General features: G+C 38.7%; 1 long non-coding RNA gene across 12 annotated transcripts in view; it reads left to right on the top strand.

Annotated features, from left to right (window-relative positions):
- LINC02715 (long intergenic non-protein coding RNA 2715) overlaps positions 1–11,114 on the top strand; it is an 82,249-nt gene extending 71,135 nt beyond the window's left edge. For 11 of the 12 annotated variants that reach the window (NR_187370.1, NR_187368.1, NR_187375.1 and 8 more), the window contains 3 exons: positions 6,120–6,185; positions 7,716–7,787; positions 10,628–11,114. This is a non-coding gene — a long non-coding RNA (long intergenic non-protein coding RNA 2715). The remainder of the gene's footprint in view (positions 1–6,119; positions 6,186–7,715; positions 7,788–10,627) is intronic. The other variant, NR_187373.1, reaches the window with a different exon arrangement.

The following is a 17,308-nucleotide window of genomic DNA, read 5'->3' as shown; positions in this document are numbered from 1 at the left end:
CTATAAATACAGCAGCCTGGAGAACAAGGGGAAATATGTCATCTATTTGAAATACCTAAGTTCAGAGTTGAACCTGGAAAATATGTAGTTTAGAGTTAATGAATGGATAGAGCAGACTGCCAATTGTTTAGGCCATCCATCACTCCAGCCATAAAAGTTCACAAAGCACCAACCATTATTTACCTCACCCACTAAATGAGGATTGAATTCAAAGTTAAAACTTATAAATACTGGTAATGCAATTGCAATGAACTTCCTTAAATCCTTGGCTTAAAACTGGGAGTCTCAGATCCTGCATTCCAGAAAACCTCATTTTGGAGGCCAAACTGATATCCTTGGCAGTATCGTGTTGCCACAGTCACTGCAAGGTTCCTTCCTAGCAAACATTACAAAAGAAAGTGTCATTACATTCTGTCCTTTGCATGCTCATGTACTGGTGTATTAAGAGTATTTGTAGGGCCGAGAACAGTGGCTCACGCCTGTAATCCCAGCACTTCGGTTGGCTGAGGCGGGGTGATCACAGGGTTAGGAGATTGAGACCATCCTGGCTAACATGGTGAAACCCCATCTCTACTGAAAATACAAAAAATTAGCTGGGCATGGTGGCAGGCACCTGTAGTCCCAGCTACTCGGGAGGCAGGTAGCATGGCACATAGAGAACTGTGTAGGCTTTAGACCCTGATCCTTTAACTTACTAATAGGACCTTGGATACATTCATTGACTTATTCAAATATTGGTTTCCTTACATGGGAAGAGGATAATCTCTATCTCTTTAGGATCATGGCAAAGATGTAATATGGGCTTAATTCTGCTATTGAGCCAGCTGCTTTTAGTAGGGTGCAAGTAGGAAGCAACTATTTTTTCTCAGTATTGCCTTTTAAATCTGATGTGCTGAAACTCCTTTTCCCACCCCCCAATAATGGTTCAGGCAAATGTTCTAGCTATTTTTACCACTTCCTGACATCTAAAAGTCTCATCTTAAGAAGTCCTGTCTAGTATTACATCAACATTTCAATTTCTCCTACAACTTCCCCCTCCTCTAGATCAGGGCCTCACATCTGTCCTGCTCCCTTTTCCATTGCTCTGGGCCTCTGGATTTTTTCAGGATTGTGACAGGAAAAAGAAAGAGTAAGGGGAAGGTCTCACTTAGTGCTGTAGTTACTTAGCTTGAGGCTTTCTGTGTGACAGATACTCAAGTGCTGATGCTTTTCCTTGCAGGGTGCTTTGGTGGGCTCTTCTGGGGACAAAAGAAAGCACAACAAAAAAAGGAAATAAATGGCATATGCAAACCCCTAAATGACTCATGCCTAGATTTAAACAAAGGGTACAATGGCAGGTTTCTGTAGACCAGAGAACATTTGCTGTTTTACTATAGAAATTGTTATTAATATTATGAAATAATTCAAACATAAACATTCATTTGCTTTCTCTTTGCTCCCTTCTTCGTAATGTATATAGGTTTCTTTTTTTTTTTGCTTTTTATATTGTAAATATACATAATATAATATTTATCATTTTAGCCCATTTTAGGTGTACAGTTCAGTGGCATTAAGAGCATTCACATTATTGTGCAACCATTACACCATCTCTTCCTGGAATTTTCTCATCTTCCCAAACTGAAATTTTGTACCCATTGAACACTGGCTCCCCATTCTTGCCTGCCCTCAGCCTCTGGCAACCAACATTGTACTTACTTTCTGTATCTACGAATGTGACTAAGCACCTCACATAAATGGAATCATACAGTATTTGTCTTTTTGTGACTGGTTTATTTCACTTAGCATAATGTTCTCAAGGTTCATTCATGTTGTAGCCTATGTCAGAATTTCCTTCCTTTTAAAGCTGAATGATATTCCATTATGTGCATATATCATGTTTTCCATATCCCTCCATTGATACATGGGTTGTTTCTACTTTTCTTGTCTCTCAAATGTCATTTTAGATAAAAGTCCATGCCATAAATACTTATCAGTTGCTGGAAACACCCTGTCAATGGAGGAGTCCTGTTTCCTGTCCCATCTCTTTCTCCATTCTTCTACATGGTGAACAAGCACTGAGTAGTGGTTTGACCCCTGTTCTCTGGGAGACACTTAATGCTCAAGAAAGGTGCCTGGTAAAACCATGCTTTCCTCAGAATGTGCCTCCCTCGACACACCTCAGCCAAATATGTGCTTTGGTTTGTCAAAACTGGTATTACCTAACTGAACTGGGTCCATTAGCCCACATTCAACTGAAAGCCAAACACTGCAGCACCTGATTTTTTGTAGAGAGAAAGGATTATTTTAAGATGGCTGAGGAAGGGGACAGAAGATGGGCTCAAATCCATCTTCCCTCTTCGGCTCACAAGTTGTGTATTTAAGGGCAGCAGTTTTAGAAGTTGGGTCTCTGGGTTGGTTAAGGATTGGTGGAGGGTAAAGGGAAGTTAGGAAAGCCTCTTGGGCATGTGCAGTTATCCTGTCGTATCTCTTCATGGGTTGAACATGTAAATTAAGGGGGTTTGATACGGAACATGTGGTGGAAATTTGGGCTGTGCTGTCAAAAGTTCACCCAGTGGGCAGGCAAATCTTGGTACAAGCTCCAGTCAGACATTGATTCTGGCCAGCTTCAACTGGCCCTGTGGTCCTGTAAGTAGACATCCTGAAAACAAACTCATAAATTTTGTTAGTCACCAGCCCCCTTTAATCCTGCTCTTTGGTCCATTTCACCCTGCGAGGCACAATTTCACTGAGACTCACAGATACTGGACATTGAGAGCTTGGTCCTGTCCAGCAGGATAGTCCACAAATGCCTGCTGCAATGCTGCCTGTCCCAGGGTGTGGTAACACAAGACCCTTGGCTTGTGTTAATCCCTTTCAGTAAATCTCATGCTTTTCTTTGTTTTGTCTATCCCAAGCAGATTTTTTTTATCACTTGCAACTGAATCACATGAACTAATGTCTGTATTCTTCCTGTCTCTCTCCAACATGTTTTGTTCTCAGATTTATCCTCTGAGGCATCCACCAATTTTGCTCACTACCCTTTGGTCAGCATCCCTTAGGGCTAAAGGGATTGTAAACTCCAAGCTGCACTTTGAAATCTAGCTGACTGCTGTTCTCCACACTGGCTCCCATCTAAGCCCTGGGTAATTTAAGTTGACTCTGGTCTCCAAAGCCAGCAGACACAGTACATCCATTCAGGCATTTATAGTGAAAAATACTCATGGTTCTCAGATAGTGGTATATAAAACCACGGAGCAAATGTCAACAGCCTGAGTGCATGATCAGCTTTCAAAAAACCACCACTTACTTTTCTCATTTTTTTCAGCAAGTTATGCCTCTGAAGCTCATACCTTGCCTAAAAAAGCAGAACATACACAACACAATTCATGTCTTAGTGACTGGACATGTTCGACCCTGAAAGGTGTCTTGAGATTTTATTCTCTTTTCTATTGGCTGAATTTCATATTTCAACTGCTTCTATATTTCAACTTTCTTCAGTGGATGTGGGATTCATCTTTTCCCCCAGCTCCCCTTTAATGGTTTAGGAGTTTAAGGTTTTTGTTCTTTCTTTCCTTTTTTTAATCCCTAGGAAGGATGTGTCAAACAAAGACGGGTTCACAGACTTGGCACTTTGGGAACTGAACTGGTGGGCCACTGGGCCATGATCTTCCCTTGGCATTTTCTATAAGGGATATATTAAGACTGGAGCTTAATACATCAGTCATGTCCCTGCTCTTCTGCTTAAATTTGGCAAACAGCCTAGCATTAAAGTCCTCATTTCTACCAGGTTATCATGCTCTCCTTTATTGAACTGTTGTATTTACAAGAGCTAGAGAGATGAAGATCCACTTGTCAATAATAATGTAATACTATCATTTACTGATCATCTGCTTGTGCAAGATATCTTACATGCAGGAGCTGTAAGCCCTGCTTGCAAGATGGGATTGTCTTATCCCTGTTTATAGATGAGGCTCACAGAAGAGGTAAATAGATTTGCCTAAAATCACACAGCTAGGAAGTAATGTGGCAATGTTTCCAACTCAGAGCTTCTAATTCTTTTAAAAATACAGGTATGACATGAAGTATAATTGGCAAAGGCAGACCTTTTTGAAAAATACTTTATAACTCCTATATCAAAAGGCAAAAGGAGGAGGAGTGTTTACTCTTTATCATGTGGGTGTGTCCTGGGACTTTGGTGTTCTACATCCCCACTACCCACCCAGACAGGCGCCTTTTAGCTGTGTCTACAGGCACTATGTGTTGAGAATGAACAGCCGCATGACTATGTCCCTCACACATGACAGTGGTTAGCCCACTACTCTGTCTCATTGCTTGCAGGTCCCCAGCTACACTGTTGCTGTTTTGTAAGCCTTATTCCTGCAGCCAATCCAAATGGCAATTTAGATATCTCACTGTCATAAAATAATTGATCACAAAAAAAGAATTAAATCCAGTGAGTGACTTTCAGCTCTCACAATAGCAAGGTTAGAAAAAAATAATTCCCTTTCTGTTTGGAAACACAGTCGAGTACCTGTCGGAATTAAGAATGACTTACATTCATACTATTTGGGAGTCATGTGCACTGACACTCAGAAAGAAAACGTGATTCATCATAGATGAGTGTGGCGTTTGCCATGAAGATGCCCGTCATGCGAACCTGCCAGAATTGTCTAGTGAAGGCACAGAGAACTGCTTAGGCAACTGTTTTAGCTGTCCTTCACCAGGGCTTTCCAGAAGGTCTCTCATAGCTTCCTAATCAGTACTTGGTGGCTTTTTCTGTCCGCTTTCTGGTGACTAATACCTCCTCCCACAAACTCTTCCTCCATTTAGTTTCTGTGACACTGCAATATCCTGAGGTCATGTTCATTTCCTCTTCACTATGACTTCTTTATGTCCCCTAAATGACAGCATTCTCCAAGGTTCTGTCCCAGGTCCCTAGGGCTTCCACAACCTAGAGAATCCCTGCTTGTGGCTTCCCCAAGCCTCTGCCCTGAGGGTCAGGTCCCAGTTCCTAGCCCCTCCTTATGAATTTCCTCATGTGTGAGCTTCACCTGCTATGAAATTCCTTTGAGCTCCTTTCCCTCTATCTAGCTGGATATTGTCATTCTGCTGGCCTTTCCTCATCCCAGGGGCTGACTTGGCCAGCATCAATCCTCTAAGGGGCCTATCCTTAGGGTCCTATCTTCTTTCTGCTACCCTGGATTTCTGGTGTCTCCTACTGTGTGAATTCAGTTCCATACCATGGTCCACCTCCCAGCCACGACTAAGAGGTGATTTTCTGTATTAGATGCTGAACTCTAGTTCAACATTATAGTCCCTGTAATACCTGGCACACTATCCTACACACAGTAGAGTCTCCATGAGTAGTTTAGTTTAATTTAGCAAATTCTCAACAAATTGATGCAATGAATACCAGCATTGAGGTAACACCGGATAGGGGGTGTTAAAGATCCTAGAAAGAAAGAGAAAAAAGAAGGAAATTTTAATGTACTACATCGTAAAAGAAACTCATTTAATAAGTCTGTGGAAGTTTATTCATTCTTGTACTGTGGAAATGTTTTGGATCCGTGTTTACTATGTGAAGAAGCGAGGATTAAGAGAGAGTGTGTCACAGTTTATTGAAATGATTTTTTTCCTTCATTCATAAAGTTTGTCTTTATACCTGAATTAAGTTGTAACCACAGGATTAAGTTATTAACTCTGTACAAACAATCTCAAGAAGTGTTCTCTTTCTTTTCCTTTGTAGGGGTCTTCAGGGTACATTGGATGTTGAGGCTTTATACCACACCATTTAGCAGACACCATCTAGCATTTTTTTGTTGTCGTCATTTTCCTGGGTAATTAGGGTTTTCCATGATTATCAGCATGATCGCTGAGGACTGGACAGTGACTTATTTCCTGTTTTTGCACAGGCCAACCAAAGCTGAATTAAGATGCTTACCAAACAAGCTAATAATGTGACATCCGTTCCAACCAATAGTCTCTAAACATTTAATGGAGATGATGATAACTCATCTTCTATTAACATATATTTTATTTTGAAACATGTTTACTTAATCAGTTCAGCTGGCACAAGCAGAGTCAATGTTGTGAAAACAATTCCACAAAAACACTTTTCTATAGTTCTGTTCTCTTTTCAGCTCTCTTTGGTGACTTCCTGAAGCTTGAAGTATCTTCCTTGGGAGACGTATTATAGAATTTGAAATGTATGTAAAAATAAATCTTTTATTTTTGCTAAATAGTTCTATGTTAGGCATAAAACCACTTTCAAATGTTGTTGACTCTGAGAGTTAACCTCAGGCAACTGTCAGTGGGCTGGTTTGGAGTTGCAGCTGCTCTGTGCAACTTGCAGAAATGTCAGTAGAGACATGCAGCCCTAGTAAGGAATATCAACATATTTTGTATATTTGAGGATACTTCTAGATCAGTGGCAGTAGAACCAATTTACATTTCTCTGGTGATGCCACATATGGAAGCCTGAAATTAACTGGCCCTATATTTCCAATGTGTTTCAATGATGCTTTTGCGTGCATGGCAGATCAGCACCCTCTGCAGCTGTTGGCCTGCCCTGAGTTGAAGCCAACTCTGACTTGGGGCTCACTTCCGCATTCATTCCTCCTTCTGGCCTGACATTCTTTTTCTTTCTACTTACACTGTATCTTTTCGTCTCTATAATGCCTCCTTTAACTCCTTAAGTGTTTTAGCAATTCTGTCATAAAGCCTCCTAGAAATTCTCTTCTGTGGTAGACCTGTTTTAAGTTCTTGGCCCAGTACCTGATCTGAAATTGCCTAGCCCCATCTCTCACAGCCACTTTTGAGGTCATAAGACCCTTCCCTGTGGCCAGTTCTAATTGAACTTGGTGAAGATCATAGCCACCTGATTCAGGTCAAGCACAGATGGGTTGGCTGAACCAATGCCATTCTGTCACAAAGGAATTTGGAATCAAGATAGTTTGGGATTGAGCCACTCGGATGGTGGCAGACACTCATGAGAGATCACATAGGGTCAGAACCGTGTATCCAAGCAGAGTCAAGTGCAATCAGATGAAGCCAGGCCAAGAGCAGAGAAAGAGAACCAGAGAGAGGAGAAACCATATGATTCCTGAGAATGGTTAACTTCTCTGATTTTCTAATTTTTGTCTGTCCTTTTTTATCCCAGACACATTTTATTCTTTGGCTTTTTAGATGGCCCTGAGAAATATTACCATTAGAATAGTAGCTTTCTATTTCTAGAGAACTATTATTTCTAGAGAGTAGTTTCTCTCATTTCTCTAGCTCTTTGTACTTACGCTACCTTGAGGCAATTTCTGTTTCCGTCAACAAAATGGCCTTCAACCAAAGCCCCTTCCTCTTTTCTGCCATCATGGCAGGCTGGTTGAGTGACTTCTGGGCTCAACCTTTCTTCTCCTCACCACTTGCTCCAGCAGAGGCCACAGCCTAGACCCCTGGGAACCATGTTGGTGACTGAAAGTTGCTTGCCTGCTTTATTAAGGTAATTACTGATAACTGCCTCAACAATCAACCCTCCAAAGCCTCAATAGCTTCACTGAGCAGAAGTATATTTCTCATTCACATAAAATCTGATGCGGATTAGCTGGCCCTTTCCGTCAGTAACTGGATCCACCATCTGGAATTAAGTGTTGGCCCAGGAAGGAAAAGGGAAATAGAGGAGGAAAAACAACTCTAAACTGCATTGGGTTGGGACTGACACATGCCACTGTCACTTCCACTTACAGCCCACTGGCCAGATCTCAGCATGTAGTTTCATCCCAACTCTACAGAAGTCTGGAAAATACAGAGAGAACATGGTGAGTACTGGCTGTTTACGTTGCAGTCATGTTTGCCTGTTGGGCCCAATGGCTTGGTTGGATGCTTAGACAGTTGGCTGTGGAGAAGCTTGGTGGGTGAGCCCCTGTTTTGGGTCACGTAGTGTCCTTCAGCCAGTGCAGCTGTTCAAGGAGGTGCACAGCGGAGACAGCGAGACCTGGGAGGTAGGAGCATGAACTCTCAGGAGCACGGCCACGTGTCGCCTTGATCAAACACTTCTTCACCAGACCTGGGGAAGCTGGACTGCCAGACTTCCTGGAATATTCTCCCAATCTCCCTGTACTTGCCCCTCTCCCAGTCACACTTTATAAACCTTGTGCAGGTCATTCATCAAAGAAGTGACTACAAAGGCTCATTACTTTTACAAAGAAGTTTAACAGAACTTACACCTCGAGATGGCCGCTGATCAGAAGGGCAATATAGCAAATGATTGATAACATGAGCTCTTGTATCAGACTTTCTGAGCTGAAATCCCAGCTCTGCCATTTTCTAGTTGTGAGACTTTTGTCTTAAGTAATTTAATCTCTATATGCCTCTGTTTTCTCCTTTGCAAAATGAGAATAATAATAGTACTTACCTCCTAGATTTGTTGCGAGGATTAAATAGTCTAATACCTGCAAAATACTTGGAGTAATGCTTGACATGTGGCACATGTTAGGCATTCTTGTTATTATTTAAAGCAGATGTGCTGAAAGAGTGTACAATTATTTCATTTTAAGCACATTTGGAAATTTCTCCAAGCAGTTCTTTTAAACCTAAGTCATGATCATGTAAGATCAACATCTCAAACTCATTTTGAGGTGATCAACTGAAGATGTCATGTGTCCATTCAACAACTATCCTCTATACACTCTAGACTCCAGCCTGACAAAACTACTTCTTTTTCTCTCCGTGAACTGATGGTCTCTGCTCCACCCACATCCACACTTCTGTGCCTGCAAATGCTGCCTTTTCCTCCAGCACTATGGAAGAATGAGTCTTGCTCCCATCTAGGTTTTGCCTGTCTTCTTATGCCCCAGATACAATCACCTGTCATCCTAATAAAGACTTGCTTCCTCAACTCTCCCATCTCTCTTGTGCCATAAGTTTCCCTTGACAATTTCTCCTGACTACTTTCCTTTTGTCAATCAAGTATTTTGCAATATTTTGTGCCTTACGAAACATATTTTCTAGACCAAACATTTTCATCTATCACTTCATTTCTCTGCTCTTCTTTATTGCAAAAATTCTTACCAAATTAGCTATATTCACTGTCCACTTCCTTTTCTCCTATGTTTTCAATCTAGTCAAACTTTTGTCCCCACCACTTCACCAAAATTGCAAAGATCACCAGAGATCTTCATGCTGCTCAATCCAATGGTTGATTCTCAATCTTTGTTTTAGAGGCACATGACTCAATTTATAATCCCCTCCTTTCAGAAATGCTTTCTTCACTTGATGTCTAGGACAACATACTCTTTTGATTTTTACCCTGTATTATTGGCTACTTATTTTCAGGTTCCTTTGTTCAAACCTCATCCTCTTCCCAACTTCTAAGTGAGGTTGGAATGGGCTAGGGCTCAGTCCTCAGATATCTTCTGCTCTTACATTCAGGCCCATTTCTCTATATACTCTCTTTAGTCTGATAGCTTCCAAATGTGTACACCTTGCCTTGACTTTCCCCCTGAATTCCAAATTCATATATACTAAAAAGTAGCGGAATTCTGGAAGTCTGACTATAATCTTTAGCCTCATTTTCCTAAAACAGAACTCAGGATTTCCAGTTCTTCTCCCGACTAGTCCCAATCCTGTTTCTCTTTCTGTGTTTATCTAAGTTAAATGAAACCACCATTCACTCAGTTGTTTAGGTTATAAACCTTGACATTGTTCTCCTCAACCTTGCTGTCATACCTTGCTTTCAATTCATCAGCAAATCCTGTCATTTGCACCTTGAAAATACATCCTGAATCTGAGTTCCCCTGCTGTAACTTTAATCCAAGCCACCATCACCCTCGTTTCGTGATGTTGCAACTGTGTCTAAGCCTGTCACTTTGTTTTCTCATATGTTTCACACCCCACTCTTTTTTTTTTTTTTAAGACAGCAGCCAAAGCTATCTTTTGAAAGTTTTGACCAATGTCTACAAGACCCTATACAATCCATATCCAGGCTACCTTTCTTACCTCTGCATCTGCCACATTGGTCTTCATGCTGTTCCTTCAACACAACAAACGTGTGCTACTGCTTCAGAACGGCACTTTTTGTTCCCTTGTCTTGGAAGACTCTTCGCCCAGAATATTTTAATGTGGAAGTTCCATGCATTTCATTTCCATTAATCACAAAGCCAATCCACGTCTAACTCCCTCACTCCCTTCAGATGTTTGTTTTAAAATGTCACCTCCTCAGAGCTGTCTTCCATGATGATTTTGTATAAAATATCTATCCCCATATTCTTTCCTACTATTGTGTTGTTTTTTATCATAGCTCCTGTCAAATATCTATGTATTATTTGTCTCCCCCACATGCTCTTAGCTACTATCCATATGGATAGAGGATTTGTCAGCTTTATCTGCTTTGCATGAATGATCTGCACAGTACATTTCTCCCCGGGCCCCTCTCTTCCTTCAATTCTTCTGGCTAACTTCTCACTCTTAATGTCTCCATTTGTTTTTCACCTCCTTTGAGAAATTTTCTCTAGAACAAAGCTAGGCACTGTTTTCATAGGCTCGTGAAACACCCTTTACCATCCTAATCATGACAATACATTGTACAGTAACTTTCTATTTGTCCAGCTGGGCAGCCCACAAGGCAGCTTTCTGACGCTTGGCTGTGCTTACCTCCAAGCTCTTTCCCTAGGAAGAAGAGATGAGAGCTCCATCTCTCTGCTGGTGGAAGGAGAGGTTGTCTTTCCCTTCCCATAGGGCAAGAAGAGCTGCCTCCACATCCTCCTTCTGCTGTAGCTGAAGAGCCTGTTTAAAGGAACATCCTGATGGGGCTCAGCCTTTTGACCCCCAGAAAACATGGCTTTGTCTGCCATCCTGCAGCTCATCATGGGAGCCTGCAAAGTGGTTGGGGGCAGCACACACCAGCATGCTGTGAAGAGAGGAAAGAGCTGCCGGGATAACAACCCCGCAGCCACCATAATGACTCAGATTAGAACACAAGGGAACACCAGCCATTTTTTAGTCTGTCAGTTTTTCTATTATCCTCAAGACTGAGCATGAAACATTCATTATAACACGTCCTTATTGATTCAACTGATGGAAATATATTGGTATTAATAACACGAAACTCTAAGGCACTGAGGATAATAAAATGATTGCGAACATAACGGGTCTCAATATGTTTATGTGGTAGCTCTGTGCATTTCATTTCCATTAATTACTAAGCCAGCAAGTAGGTGATTTGGGTATCACATCATCAAACTATATCACCGTTTTTATTTGGTACTTACATGATTATCCAGAGGAAATAGTTTGATCGGTTATTAGTAGTAGGGTTTAATTTGTGGCAAAATGAAAATATCTGTTTGAAACGACTAACACACTGATGAAAGGCGTGAAGCTGAGGCTTCAAATGGCTTAAATATAATCACAAAAAATAAAATCCATTTTGGGTATTGTAATATTGAGTCCTCTTAGGAAATTTAAAAAACAGGGGCTTCATTTTTGTCTGTGGTCTAACTTAGGTTCTAGTCTTTTGAAGTAGGAAAAAGTATTGGGAAAGATTATTATTTTGATAAGGTATAGGAAAAGATTATTATTATGGGGTGTACTCAATGGCTACATATTTACCTGAAGGTACATTTTTTTGCTTGATGATTTCCTTGGTTCCTGTTCCTCAAGAAGAAGTTATTGTCAGCTTCCGGCAAGACTGATCTCACAAGGAAGTAGGATGTGAAAATATACAATTTAAAAAATGCATGGTACAAAAAATTATAAAAATTAAAATTTGTTTTTTAAAAAATCTAAATTTCGATGACCTGCAATCAACGACTCTAATTTTGTCATACCGTCTTCTGGTTTTTATTTTTATGCTTACATTCTTAGGATTGTCATACGTGTTTAGAACACATATTTAGAATGCCATCTACAAAATTTTCTATTCTGTTTTATTCTTTCATCATTTTACCATAAACATTTCCTTGTTTTTCTTTTTATAATGGCTTCATAATATTTCATACAGTTCTGTAATTGTCAGTTCATTTTGTAAATAATACTGAAATGGAAATATCCATGCCCATGTGTTTTTCATATTTTATTCTTAGGATATTCCTATGAGTAATTTTCCTCGGTTAAATTGTATGATTTTTTAAAAATCTCATAAAATACATTGCCAAATTACTTTTCAAAGAGGGTTGAACAAATTTAAATTATCCCCGTCAGTGTATTAGATAATAGTTTAAAAATATTTTGAACAGGATTAGGAATTTTTGCTTAGAATATTTGTTAATGTTGCAATATCCTGCTTTTTTGTAATTTTGGTAGTTTTGGAGACCATTTTCCCAATGTTTAAGTAAGTGTATTTCCCTTTGTGTGAATTGGCTTGTCATATTCTTTGTTTACCCTTTGGGTCTACATACTTTTTTTGTCAATTTCTATGAGCCTTTATTTTTGCTGCAAGTATTTTCTTGGTCTTTTGTATTTTAGTTATGTTACTCATCGTTGTCTTGGGGCTTTAAATATTTTTGTAATTGAATCTGTTGATTATTTCTTTATGATTTTGTCATTCCTCTGAAAATGGATATAACTTTTAAAAATCTGTTGGCTTGATTTGAATTTTTTTCAATAATTTCAACTTTTGTTTTAGATTCGGGGTACCCATGCAGATGTGTTACTTGTGTATTTCCAGAAATTTATCCATTTCCTCTCGATTTTCTAGTTTTTCTGTATAGAGGTATTCATACTAGTTTCTGAAGATCTTTTGTATTTCTGTGGGATCAGTTATGTTACTTTTGTCATTTCTGATTGTTCTTATTTGGATTTTCTTTTTTTCTTTGTTAATCTAGCTATCAGCCTGTCAATCTGGTATATTCTTCCAAAGAACAACTTTTGATTAGAATTTTATATTTGCCTCTTTAATAATGAGGAATTTATTTTGGTAAATGATTGAAGTGAATATTTTACATTATGTACTTTTATTCTTACATCAATTATCAGACAACAGTAGATCATTTTAAATGCCCTGTTGGCAATATTATAATTTTGAAGCTCATCCAATAATATGTACTATGGAGTCAGGTAGTGTTCCATGCATGAGATGAAAAATGAATAGGGCACCATTTTAGTAGTTAAGGAGTTCAGAATTTAGACAAGGAAAGAGGGTGGGGAACAGTTTCTAAATAGCAGCATTCTGTTATTTCATACAACCAATGAGTCACTGTTCTGGGAATCCGAACTCTATTATCTTCATCTTCCTATGTCCTTCTCCTTCTCTTTTTGTCACTCTGATTTGCTGTTGCCAGCTCTGTTTGTTTTCTTGTTCTTACATGCTTTTTGGCTTGTTTTCTCTTTTTCTTTCTTTCCTCTCTCCGTTTTTCTCTCCTTTCTGGTTTTCTCTCTCCTGCCCCCCAGCCTCCTCCCTACCTACCTCTTTTCCATCAATATCTCCTCCAGGAAAAAAAAAAAAAAGAAAAAACTGCCTACCTTTGGGGAGGCATGCATTTCTAAAGTAATTGCAAGGCATTAGTCAAAGCATGGGCTTAGGAGCTAAGCAGACTTGAATTCAAATCTTGGCCTTGGCAGTACCAACTGTAACATAAGCAACTGCAGGCAGTCCTCATTTTGCAGTGTGCCAATAAGAACGAATTTCAGTTACCATAGTTTAGTAAAATAATACTGTCTCCCAACTGCATGGTTTAAATTTCAGTTACCATATATATTAACTGTGAGTAATTGCATAAAGTACAAACTATGCTGCTAGCTCTGCAGTCCAGAGATTACTAGGTAAATAACAGATGGGCATCGTGATCAGCTACCAGTCACATCACTTCTTTTCAAGTCTGTTGGTGATTGACCATTATGTGTGTGTATGTGTGAGTTATTCAGTTCAGGCAGAGACAGCAAAGCATGTAGTTGTGTTGCCTACTGATCTCCTAGTGATAAACTCACATGCATGCATTTTACAAAAATGGATAATCAAAAGAGGGAATTGGCTAACAAAGATGAAAGTGCAGAAAAAAAGTAATGCTGCTGGAAGTGAATGTGCATAAATGAAGTTATAGAAGGAGTAGCTGACTCTGGGAATATTGATACTGTCACTATTTGAGAAAGCCTCCAGTTCCACATTCTGAGAGGCTTTGTGAAGGTGAACTTATGAACATGAATGAGGAAAATGGGAGTGATAAAAAGCGTGGTGTTCCAGAGGAAGTGGAACATCACCCTAAGGAACTCTTGGAACTACTTCACAACATTAGAAGAGTAAAGGATGAAATGCTTAAACTTCATCCCAACACAGAAAAGAGTACAACAATTTGCAAAGCACCAAAAAGAAAGCATGTTCACTCTATATCATAGGTGACATAGAAAGAAGGGAAGCACTGCTCAAACTACTCTTGATAGTTTTTCAAAGAAAGAGAGAAAATTTAATTCTCTTAAATGGCAGTATACTAAAAAAAGAAGTTTTACTATTTTTTATTTCTCTATACATTGAAAGCAGTTACAGAGTCTTTAATATTTTTGAGATAAAATGTAAAGGTCACAGAACACTAGTAATGTTTTCTATCAATTATTATGATTACTTTGCATGGTTTCAGCTTGCATGGCTATTTTTATAGCCTCTACTACCTTGCAAAGCAAGAACTGCCTATTAACTTTTCTAAGCTGTAGTTTTTCTATATGTGAAATTAATAACTTATAGGATGATTGCAAGGATTAAATGAGACAGTGAAGATAAAGTGCTTGATGCAGCTATAACTCAGTAAACTTTTAATAAAAGTAGCTATTATTGATATTCATAGCATTACTATCAACCACTAAATAAAGCAATATAGCATAACTCTACCAGGTTGGGTTTAAGGAAAATTTACTGTTTAAGCCCAATAGCTTGGGAAAATATCAGAATTAAATAAAAAAAAACTACAATGAATTAGTAAAAAAGTATAAATTTTTCTAACCACCAGGAAATTGTACCTCAAAGATTCCTTACTCGAAAACAAGGACAATCTTGCTGACAAAATGCTGTTTAAACCCATTTCCTTGGACTTGGAAGGAGAAGGAATAAAGTGACCTAGGGGTCTAATTTCAGGGAGTTCAAATCTTCTTTGTTCAAACTCTAGTATTTCATCTGTTTTCTTTTTGAGCTGAGAAACACACCAATATAGAAGAGCCCAGAAGTCATTAGAAGAGTGGGGAGTTGTGGTGGGTGGAATTTAATCAAATGGTTCTCTACAATATTTCTGCAGAAGCTCATAATTACTCTCTAGTTACATTGTACTCACCTATTTATAAAAACAAGGATTAATGAACACAAGGGAAAAAGAAGTTCATTAAAATCTACATCACCGTAGCCATTGTCTTCAGACATTTTCCTCCTCACATCTTTCATAACAGAGTAAATATGGTTAATTTAATTTTTAATGCTTTCTTTAATCTGAAATCATTACTTAAGCAATGCAGTCATCACAAAGCAGGCAAAAATACAGAGTTTGTAAAGTCTCAACTCAGATGAAAACTGAGCAACTTTCCATTGCCTATGAATCAAGTCTAAATTTCTGAGCATATCATGAAGGCCTCCCTTTTTTGGTGCCATTTTTCTCACCCAACCTCATCTCATACTGCATTCCTATATTTCATCCACATTAATCTTTTTTCTGTCCTCCAAACATACAATGTTCATTTTTGATTCAATGTCCTTATTCTTGCCCTCTCCTTGCCTCAAATGACCTTCCCTCTCTTCTTGGTCCAAATGATACCCATCTTCAAAGTCCAGCTCAAGCCCCACCTCCAGTGACATCTTCCTCAGCCATTCCATTCCTCATCAATCTGGATGCTCTCTGACCTTCTATAAAACCTCTCGTTCACACCAGTGTCCTGTGACACTGATTCTTTCAAGGTCTTGTCATATTGCTCAGTCATAGTTCAAGTTCCTGATGGTGTAGAACCCTACTGTATGTTTACATTTAGTGCACAGCTATAGTTTGCTAGTGTAGCTCTTGTAAGCAGAAGCAATGTCTTGTTCATCTCAGCATTCTACAATGCCTAGCATATAGTAGGAGCTCAAGAAATAATTATTGATAAATAAACAATAAGTAAAATTTAGCATTAAAAATATTGTTCACCCTGGTATTTCCCTTTCAAGTGGGGAAACATATCTCCCCTGACCATCTTAAGAAAATCCATTCTTCATCTCTCTTCACAGTCTTTCTCAGGGGGATGTATTCATCACAAGCAGGACCACTATTACATGGCTTATCACTGGCCCCTTTGTGAAGGTCCATCTGTCCTTGGACAGGTTTATTTGAGCTCTTAACCACAATATAGGTCAAAGAAATTAGCTCATATTTATTTTAAATCCATTTATGATATTGTACACACAAAATGTCAGAGGTAATCAAACTTTTTTGTTGTATATAATAACTAGTTGAAATATATATATATATATATATATATATATATATATATATATATACTGCCTATATATATATATTTCTCTCTGGAATGATTATTTTTATATCATGTTAGGCATAGCATAAACACTCTCCAATCAGCTAACTCAAGATGATGTTACCATTCTAAAATTACAGTGGCAAAAAGTGAACAGTAAATTCTTTTCTTTTAAATTTTATTTTAAGTTCTGGGATACATGTGCAGAATGTGCAGGTTTGTTACATAGGTATACATGTGCCATGGTGGTTTGCTGCACCTGTCAACCCGTCCTCTAGGTTTTAAGCCCTATATGCATTAGGTATTTGTCCTAATGCTCTCCCTCCTGTTGCCCCCCAGCCCCCAACAGCCCCCAGTGTGTGATGTTCCCCTCCCTGTGTCCATGCGTTCTCACTGGTGAACAGTAAATTCTAATGTCTTTGAGTTAAATGTGTTTCTCTGTAAGTGTATATGTGTGTATTATATATTTTAAATATATGTATATATGTTTATATACGTGCCTATTAATATAACTGCTATACAATTTTTCTAAAAAAAGGCCATGTACATTGATACAAGTAAAAACAAAATGTAGGAAAACTTTAAACTTTTTAAAGATGTTCGATATTCAGAAAAGGGTAGCAGATAGACTACGATTTGAAAGTTCAAAAATGGTCCCCAAGGGATCCATGGCTATGGTAAAATAATCAGAGAAGAACAGGTAGGTGGTGTCTAGAGTAGAAGACACAGTCATGTCCAATTTTTCAAACTTTCTCACTTTAATATGTTTAAGTTGACATCAATAAGAAGAGAAAGGCTCCTCAAAGTTTTCCTGAGTTAAATGCATCTGCATTAGTGGTGTTGCAGTTGACGGACCAATAAAATGAAACTACAATCAGATGTCAATCTTGTCATAAACTCCACTTTGTCCTAAAACATTTTC

The sequence above is a fragment of the Homo sapiens genome, chromosome 11 (genome assembly GCF_000001405.40).
Source record: "Homo sapiens chromosome 11, GRCh38.p14 Primary Assembly".
NCBI lineage: Eukaryota > Metazoa > Chordata > Mammalia > Primates > Hominidae > Homo > Homo sapiens.
This window is presented reverse-complemented; position numbering and strand designations above follow the sequence as displayed.